This window comes from Homo sapiens, chromosome 2 (genome assembly GCF_000001405.40).
Source record: "Homo sapiens chromosome 2, GRCh38.p14 Primary Assembly".
NCBI lineage: Eukaryota > Metazoa > Chordata > Mammalia > Primates > Hominidae > Homo > Homo sapiens.
In genome coordinates, this window is record NC_000002.12 from 53,229,886 (window position 1) to 53,240,247 (window position 10,362).

Genomic DNA, 10,362 nt, shown 5'->3' on the forward strand with positions numbered 1-10,362 from the left:
GCTGTCTTTTCTGGGTCCTCACATGGTGGAAAGGAGAAAGGAGCTCTCTGAGACCTCTTCTATAACAGCACAAATGCTATTCATGAGGACTCTAATGAACTAATCACCTCTCAGAGGCCCCACCTCCAAATACCATCACAGTGGGGATTAGGTTTCAACATATGAATTTTGGGAAGACACAAACATTCAATCTGTAGCAGGCTATTTGTGCTTCAGTCAGATTCACATAATAACACATCCATAGACAATATCAAAAATCATCCCAATCATGCTATTCAACAATGAAAATCCAACATATCCAAGTAGATAAGGAGGCAGTGAGGGGATACTGTGATGCAGAGGTTGCTTGAGTATTAGAGCATTTCCATCTATGTCTACAAGTATAATGACTTCAAGTCCATTTAAATATACATAAACTGCAAAATCTAGGTCAATCTTCTGATAACCAGATCTTGTATGACAAACTGACAGTATTTCAGATTGCTAGGGTGCTGGATGGATTGAAAAGGGACCATTGATAATGTTAATTAGGACTGTAGAGAAGTCTAACTAGTATAGAATAAAATGCACATAATCTACCTGATATGGCTAGGCTCTGTGTCCCCACCCAAATCTCACCTTGAATTGTAATCCCCAGAATCTCTACATATCAAGGGCAGGACCAGGTGGAAGTAATTGAATCATGGGGACAATTTACCCCATGCTGTTCTCCTAATAATGAGTGAGTCTCATGAGATCTGATGGTTTTTTAAGTGTCTGGCATTTCCCCTGCTTGCACCCATTCTCTGACACCCTGTGAAGAGTTGCCTTCCAGCATGATTATAAGTTTCCTGAGGCCTCTCCAGCCATGCAGAACTGTAAGTCAATTAAACTTCTTTCCTTTATAAATTGCCCAGTCTCAGGTATTTCTTTATAGCAGCTTGAGAACGGACTAAACACAACCTAAACTGTGTGGATCTTTTTCCAAAACATCCCACACCATCTATTATTCAATTATGAGTAATAGTGGTAAATGAGTAAACATTAAATCTTAGGCATTGTTCTATAGTAACTTGTCTCTGTTACCAGGCAAGCACTTCAAGCTATTTTGTTACTCTATGATGATAAAACAAATAATATGGTAATTGATACTATTCTTTATCTATCTTACTTCTCCTGAGAAGTATAATAGAAATAATATTCTTCGTACTAAAGGTATTTATTCAAACACTGCTGTTATGAAGTTAACGCCATTTTTCTTGACAAAATCCTTGATTTGGAAGGTGAAAAGTGACACAAATATTTAGTGTGATTATTTATACACAATTCCAATCATCCTAAAACATATTTCTGTGAAAACCAGCAGCAAGAAGCGTCACATTGGTAGCTTCAAGATGACAATATTCAACACTCATTGTTTTACTACATCTAATGTTAGACATGAATCATTTGAAAGCCTGATTAAAACTATAAATAGAAAGCAGCTACTTAGTATTTTAATCAAAATAACCTCTTAAATGTTACCTTATAGCCTCTGAAATAAAAAGGCAACTAATAAGAAAAAAAGCAATCTTGTGAGGATGACTTATTAAAACCAAAACAAACCACTTGGCCTCAATTCTGCCCAAAAACTGTTAACCCCTTAAACAGTGCTTCTGCTAATGTGTTTCCATTACAATTGTAAATTCAAGAATACTGAAGTGTCGTCACCCTCTCTCTCCCTCAGACTGTGAGAACATTTACAAGTTTTTGTCAATTTGTTGTTGCACCAAACGTCATACAGTCAATACATTTTTCTCCTAAATGTATATGCTCAAAAATATTCATGATATAGTCCCAAGCACTCCATTAGCCTATGGGGCTAGATAACGGGGGTGGTGATGTGCTATTTACAGACCACAGGTCACTATGACAGAAAACTTCCTTAAAGTAACCAGAGATATATCTTCATTTCCTTTAATGTTAAAAATACAAGGATGCAGAATAATTCTTCACCATGCCTTTTTTGATTTGATAAGTAGCAACAGAATTAGAGGAATGATATTGACCAAAGGCCAAATGTAAGAAACTTAAAGGATTCAAGTGAACCAGTTACCTAGGGATAGATGGACATCAACACCTTTCATCATAAGCCCAAATCCAATCATACTGTTACCTTCATCCACAGTGTAGTACTGATGGTTTATATTTCAAAATATCTGCTTTCTGATCTTTATAATATTTAGGACGAACCACAAACCACTCTGCATCCTCTAACAGGAAGTTCACACTCTCTTGTTCTACATTTGGTTTGTGTGATTCCCACCTTCTGAAATATCCTGTACCTACACCCTTATAATAAAATCTTAACTTCCTTAAAGTTTGGTTTAATTCTTCCTTCTTTTGTGACCGAGAAACCATAAAATGTAGAACAATAAGGTAATTCTAGAACCATCCGTGACCCAACTCCTATTTTAACAGATAAGGACTCGGGAGTTTCAGAAAGATTACATGATTTAAGCCTGAGTGGCAGGAGTAGTCTGGATCCCAGGTTCACATCTTCCTAACTCCCAGTCCTTAGCACCCTAAGATTTCTCCAGCTTTTTTTCTCTGATATCCTTCAGTCTTGAATGTCCACTGCACTTACTTGGTCATCACTAGGTACTGCCAGTGGCCTCTCATCCTGTGGTCATGTGTATGTGCCCAGTATCTCCACCTGGACCCTAAGGTTTTCCCCAGAGCATCCAGCACATCTAGCAGCCCTCATTAAACACTTTTCCTACCTTCCCACAATAGTTAAAACAATCAACGTCCTTACTCTTGCACCAATTTGATAAAAGCCATGAATTCAACGGAAATTATATCAGCAACCTGCAAGATGAAACTTATTTTATTTTCTCTTGGTCTTAAAGCTCTAAAATATAGAAAATTTTTTTAAAAGTTGTATAGAAAGTCCCTGTGAATGATCCATCTTTTGTGCCAAAAATTTAAAAAATTTTTATTATCATTCTTTCTTCAAGTTGTCCAGCCCCATTATAAGTGACCACAACTCCCCAAAACAGGCAACCTTAAAACATTCATGCTATTCACACACTTCAAAGGCAGCAAACAGTAAGCATTCCCAAGACATGTCTTCAGTGGACACTGCATTCTAGGTGGCCTAAGTATATTTTGAAATGTACTGGGAGATTATTTGAGAACACCTAACTATAGATAGACCTATATACAGGTAAGCATGTACCTAAAAATATGAATATAAATGTAAATATAAACTATACATGTATACTCATTTATGTACCCAAACTGCCTGTCTTTGTTCCAGAGTAGGTGTCAGTACATTTATCTGTAAAAGAAGAGACAGTAAATGTTTTAGGTTTTCTGGGCCACATGGTCTCTGTCACAACTACATAAAAGTATCCATAGCCCATATGTAAATGAATACATATGGCTGTGGTCCAATAAAACTTTATTTAAAAAAAGCAGATTTGGCCCCGGCTATAATTTGTTCACCCTTGTTCTTGACTAGCGTTTTTTAAAATGCAGATTGTTCCACATTGTCTGCTACAAAATAAGTTTTGTGAAATACAAAAAGCATTTTCGAAAGCAAAATAGAATAAAACCAGAAAATTATACTATATAGCACATTGCTGCAGTATTATTAAACTTTCTAGCTTTTCTATATGCATAGGTTTGTCTACTGGGTCTTGATGTAAAACAAATTTATTCCTATGAGTCATGGTAGTCAAAAAAGTTTGAAAGTCACTATTCTAGTCACAGTATAGTACCTGTTCATGGAAAATAAACCCTTGGCTCAGCCAATAATTTAAAGCAAGAAATTTAACACTTGCAAAAATGATCCTCTTTACACTGTTTTGTGCATGGAACAAAGATCCTATGTAGCTTCCAGGACAGTAAACACCCAAAGCCAGGGAACCCAATCAAAGGGAACAAAAAAATTTGGAGTCAGGTTGTTAAACTGAGTGATGTGAAGAACAAAGTGACATGCCATGTGGCACAGAAAATATGGGCTGTTCATTAAGCATTTATCATGATTTCCTAGGAAGTTCCCAGACTTCTAGTGTGCTGATGTTGCAGAATCTGGCAACTCTGACCCTTCAGTTTCTCTGGCTCAGATAGCAGGAAGAAGACTTCTGGGTGCTCAGGTGTATTTTCCTCTACCTCCTAAATGCATGTCTCTGCCATTGTCAGCTGTCTATCTCTGCAGGCCCAGGAGATCTTGTCTCCAATTGAAGTAACAGGTGCCACCCTCGCTGCCACAGCAACCACCTGTTCCTAGAGTAATATCCCACATGCAGAGGGTTTGAGCAAAAAGTAGAACAATTAAGATCTTGTGTGGCAGGTGGCCATTGCCACCTGCTCTTGTCTCCACTGTTCCCGCCAGTCAAAGCCACCTCAAGAAGCTTTTCAACAGAGTATTTCCCTACCCTTGTGCCAGATACTTGAAACTCTCACAGATTCATTCCTCTCCATTCCCACCTCCCATCCTACCACACACCTGAAGTTTCAGGAATCCCTGGGTCCCAAGTGTCAGGCAGATTTATCCTCCCTATACACTAAGTAGAGGCTATTTCCTTGTGAACTAACTTTCTCCATCTCCCAAACACATCTAATCTTTCCCTTTTTCTAACAACTGAGTTTCTGCCCTTTATTTTCGTGAGCTAGGATAAAGTATTCGCTGTATCATTATTGTCAAAAAGCTTCTTGATCTTAGGCTCTTGCTGAAAATTCCTTTTAAGGTAAGAATCTTCATCATAAGGGCTGTTAAGGAGCTTTCCCTTTTCTCCAGGAAGCTTTGCAGGGCGCATATTGTTGGCTTTGCTTCCTCCTCTAGCAATGACCACCTGGTGTTGCAACACTGCTGTCTCTCCAGTGTAATTTGAATCCTCTGTCCTGCATCTTCACATTTTGCTTCTTTCTGTGAATTCTCAGGCATTTTCTGAAGCTCTATTTATCCTGTACCTCTTTGTCAAAAAAACTGTTTGGCATTCAAGCTGAAAATTTTATTATTGTATGGAGACTCACTAAGACATTTCCAGAGTCACATTCAAACCCAAAATCAGCCAGCTCCAAATCAGGTCCATTACGCTAATACTGAAGACAAATGGATATAGGAGTAACCACCACTATTAATTTCAAGCAGTATTTATTATACAACTAACTTGCTTAAAGAGGGCACAAACAACCACCACGAATACTATTCTCTTGAAAATCACAACCAAAGACAGATAAACCATAAAATGCATTCAGGAAATATTAAAAAATGCTTAAGGCAAAATATACAAATATAATAGTTGAATAAATTCATACTAGACAGATGAACGTTTTATTCTTATTGTTACCCTTATGCCCTGAGTTCCTACAATTATCCAAGAAAAGCCAGAAGACAAAGTTTTTTTAATTAATAAGCAGCAAATATCAAACTTTTCTTCAGAAATTATCATGAACCAGAAGTTAAGATCTCTCCAACTCATTTCTATCTGATATAAAATATAGAGACAAGTTAGAATAATTTAGGGTTTCTATAGAGTGTTATTTCATTTGTCCTGAAACCACGCAAATAGCCTAGTGGTACAAATGGGCAGAAGCAAATAGTCTTGGAAATGTCCCACAGGGTACAAAACGGGCTTCCCCACGGAGATAAACGGGCAATAGATCAAGATGCAAAGCTTTGCTAAAACTGCTTATAGATTACTATCTGCTTCTTGTTCCTCACATCTTGTTTAGTGTCTAGACTATGCTAACTCCTGACAATGGCTGGCCTTAACCTCCAATTGAGGGACAACAGTAGTTGTTGTTATTTTTAGCTGCTTGATTATTAGTCCATAGACAGACTCAAAAATGATGACAAGAGACCACACTGGTGTCTGTGATAAAACGCTGCTCTTTAGGATTTGTTTTATGAATAGAGATTTTAACTGCTGTCTCAGGGTAACTTTTAGTCAAAATGCTAAAGTTTTCCTACAACTTGGCTGATTCTGAATGATAACATAAGCATGGCCTATATTTAAGCAGATTTGGGAGAAAGAAGAAGAGCATATTTAGAGCAAAATCTCCAGCTTCTCTACTTGTAAAGGCAACCTTCTACTTACCTACATTTACAATCTCTGAAAGCACATTATTAATGCTGCCTTTCAGTGGTGATCAGTCAGCCACATCGGTCATAACCCAGGCTGCCCTGCCAACCACCATCTGAATCAGACAGTCTAGTTGCAGTAGTAAATCATGGCTTCTGACATGTTTGCCACAGAAGTATATTCTTTGCAATTAATTTTCCCTTAATTTCTGACCAGCATTCATGACAGAACATGACATATATTAATGACTCTACTCACCCACAACTTTATGAATAACAGGAAGAAGTTAAAATATAGAATTTTTTTATCTCTATAAACTGAGGGCAATTATCATTTGAAAAGGAACAAAAATACAGTGTTTGAATGGGTAGGTAGTACAGGCACACCTCATTTTATTGCACTTTGCTTTATTGTGCTTTATGTATATTGTGTTTCTGCAAATTGAAGGTTGGTGGCAACCCTGTGTGAAGGAAGTTTATCAGTTTCCTTTTTCCCAAACACATTTGCTCACTTCCTGTCTGTTACCTTTTGATAATTCTTGCAATATTTCAAACTTTCTCATTATTATTGTATCAATTACAGTTGTCTGTGATCTGTGATCTTTGATGTTACTATTGTAATTGTTTTGGGATGCCACAAACCACACCCACATATGATGGCAAATATAATTAATAAGCATTGTGTGTGTTCTAACTGCTATGCCAACTGGGCATTCCTCCACCTCTCTCCCTCTCCTCAGGTCTCTATATTCCCTAAAAAAAAATATTAAAATTGGGTCAATTAGTAATCCTACAATGGCCTCTAAAGTGTTTAAGTAAAAAGAAGAGTTGCATATCTCTCACTTTAAATCACCCGCTTTAAATCAAAAGCTTAAAAATGATTAAGCTTAGTGAGGAAGCCATGTTGAAAGCTGAGACAGGACAAACGTTAGGCCTCTCATGCCAACAGGTTGGCCAAGTTGTGAATACCAAGGAAAAGTTCTTGAAGGAAATTGAACATGATACTCCAGTGAATACACAAATGATAAGAATGAAACAGGCTTCTTGTTCTTATTGCTAATACAGAAAAAGTTTTAGTAGTCTGAATAGAAGCTCAAACCAGCCACAACATTCCCTTAAGTCAAAGTCTAACCTAGAGCAGGACCCTAACTGTCTTCAATTCTATGAAGGCTGAGAGAGGTGAGGAAACTTCAGAAGGAAAGTCTGAAGCCAGCAGAGGTTTGTTCATGAGGCTTAAGCAAAGAAGCCTTCTCCATAACATAAAAATGCAAAGTGAAACAGCAAGTGCTGATGTAGAAGCTACAAAAAATTATCCAGAAGATATAGGTAATTGATGAAGATGGCTACACTAAACAACAGATTGTCAATATTGACCCCCAACAAAGAAAAGCCTTATATTGGAAGGAAAATGCCATCTAGGACTTTCGTAGCTTGAGAGGAGAAGTTAATGCTTGGCTTCAAAGCTTCAAAGGACAGGCTGACTCTCTTGTTAGGGGCTAATGCACCTGATGAACTTTACATTGAAGTCAGTGCTCACTGACCATTCCGAAAATCCTAGGGCCCTAATGAACTATGCTAAATCTACTCTGACTGTGCTCTATAAATGCAAGAGCAAAGTCTGAATGACAGCACATCTGCTTAGAGCACAGTTTGTTGAATATTTTAAGTCCACTATTGCGACCTACTTCTCACACAAAAGATTTCTTTCAAAATGTTACTGCACATTGACAATGCTCCCATGAATACTTACCCAAAAGCTCTGGTGGAGATTAATGTTGTTTTCATGCCTGCTAACATGACATCCATTCTGCAGCCCGTGGATCAAGGAATAATTTTGACTTTCAAGTTTTATTATTTAAGAAATACATTTCATAGAGCTATAGCTGCTATACGTAGTGACTCCTCTGATGAATCTGGGCAAAGTAAATTAAAAACCTTCTGAAAGGATTCACCATTCCAGATGCCATTAAGAACATTCGTGATTTATGTGAGGAGGTCAAAACAGCAACATTAACAAGAGTTTGGAAGAAACTGATTCCAATCCTCATGGATGACTTTGATGGGTTAAAGACTTCAGTGGAGGAAGTAACTGAGTATGTAACAGCAAGAGAACTAGAATTAGAAATAGAGCCTGGTGTTGTGACTGAATTGCTGTAATATTATTATAAAACTTTAACAAATGACAAATTGCTACTTATGGATTAGTAAAGAAACTAGTTTCTTGAGATGGAATCCGCTCCTGGTGAAGATGCTGAGAACATTGCTGAAATGACAACAAAAAATTTAGAATATTACATAAACTTAGTTGGCAAAGCAGCAGCAGAGTTTGAAAGGATTGACTTGAATTTTGCAAGAAGTTCTACTCTGGGTAAAATGCTATCAAAAAGCATCACATGCTACAGAGAAATCATTCATAAAAGGGAAAGCCAACTGATGCAGCCAACTTTATTGTCTTATTTTAAGAAATTGCCACAGATATTCCAACCTTCAGCAACTAACACTTTGATCAGTCGGCAGCCATCAACATCAAGGCAAGGCCTTCCAGTAGCAAAAAGATGAGGACTCATTGAAGGCCCAGATGATCACTAGCTTTTTTTTAGCAATTAAGTATTTTTAATGAAAGTACATACATTGTGTTTTTATACATAATGTTATTGAACACCTAATAAATTACAATATGGTGTAAACATAACTTTTAGATGCAATAGAAAATAAAAAAAATTCATGTAACTCCCTTCAATGCAATATACACTTTACTCTGGTGGTCTAGAACTGAACCTGCAATATCTCCAAGGTATGCCTGTAAATGTAGAGAATAAGAGAGATAATAGGTAGTCAACAAATAAATAAGGTACCAAGGATATCAAGAGATACACGATATATTTTTGAGAAATTTAAAATTATTTAAATACATTGAAAAAGACAATTTAAAAAATAAATAGAGGCATCATTTTTAAGTGGAGAAAGACTCCATGTCACTAAAGTATCAATTCTCCCTAAATTGTCAAAGCAATAGAATCAATGTAATTCCAAACAAAATATCAATTCATTTTAAATTTGATGAACTAGTTTTATATTGTATTTGAAAGAATAAAAGACCAGGAATACACAAAATATTACCTAAGAAAATCAAAGTAGAAAGATATACCCACACAAATCAAGATCTGCTATAAAACATTATTAATTAGGGTAGTGGAGTCTTGATATAGTGATAAATAGGTCAAAAAAGAAAATAGAGAGTTTCCATGTTTTTAATTTACAGCAGTGGTGTCATGGTGTATGTAACATTTGATAATTTTCATTTTTATTAAACATTATGATTTGGAGACTTATCCATGTTAACTCATAGTTAATTCATTTAAATCTATATAATATGCCATCACATAAACAGAACTTAACTTTTCCAGTCATCTTATGATGTTTCTTTAGGTGGTTCTCAGTTTTCCACTTACACAATAGCATGATGAATCTCCTTATTCTTTCTGCCCCTACATGAAGGCATGTCTAAGATAATACTGTTTGTAGATAGACAAATTCATCTTCGAAAGTTATACAGTACCAAGTCATTTTACGAAGGAATTGCACTCCCATCAGAGGTCATCTTAACCTACACCTTCACCAATTTTGTATTTTCAAGATTTTTCATTTTTGCCTATTTCACAGAATGAACTGATATTTTATTTTTGCTTTAATCTTATTTGCCTGGTTACAACTGCAATTGTGTCTATCTATCGATTATTCAGAATTCCTCTTTAGTGAATTACTTTGTTAGTACATTGTGCCCCATTTTTTCTATCTTCCGTGAATGTATATCCTTCTTGTCTCCCTGTTTTTTATGATAAAATATTCAGACTGTTTAAATAATAAAGCCAATATATGCATCATGTATCTACTACTCACCTTTAATACATGTTCTCTGTTGGCAAATTTGTTTCACATATTTTGAGTAAAAACACTCCAAGTAAACTTCATATTCATGCATGCTTTCCTCATTCCATTTTAGTAGTGGATTACATGCTTTTAAACTTTATAAAAATGTCATCATGCTCTTGATATCACTTTGCAAAATTCTTTTTTTAACTCAACATTATGTTTAGCAACACTTCATGCTGATATATATATAATGCAAGATCATTTTTATTTTTATAGTACTCTACTATATGAGTATATAATTTGTTTATTAATTTTCCCCTAACATTCATATTCTTTTCATTTTCATCATTAAGCAATTAAGCATTGAACATTCTTCCTCATTTCTTTGTGAAAGTATACACCTAGCCTAAGCAAACTTCGGATTTACTAGATTGCCA

General features: G+C 36.0%; 1 annotated feature.

Moving 5' to 3' along the window:
- Positions 4,450-5,103: an enhancer, noted in NCBI's record as "NANOG-H3K27ac hESC enhancer chr2:53461473-53462126 (GRCh37/hg19 assembly coordinates)". NCBI's record gives its function as "activates a minimal SCP1, AML or CMV promoter by ChIP-STARR-seq in naive H9 embryonic stem cells {active_cell/tissue: H9 hESC(naive)}" and the evidence as "EXISTENCE:reporter gene assay evidence [ECO:0000049][PMID:30033119]".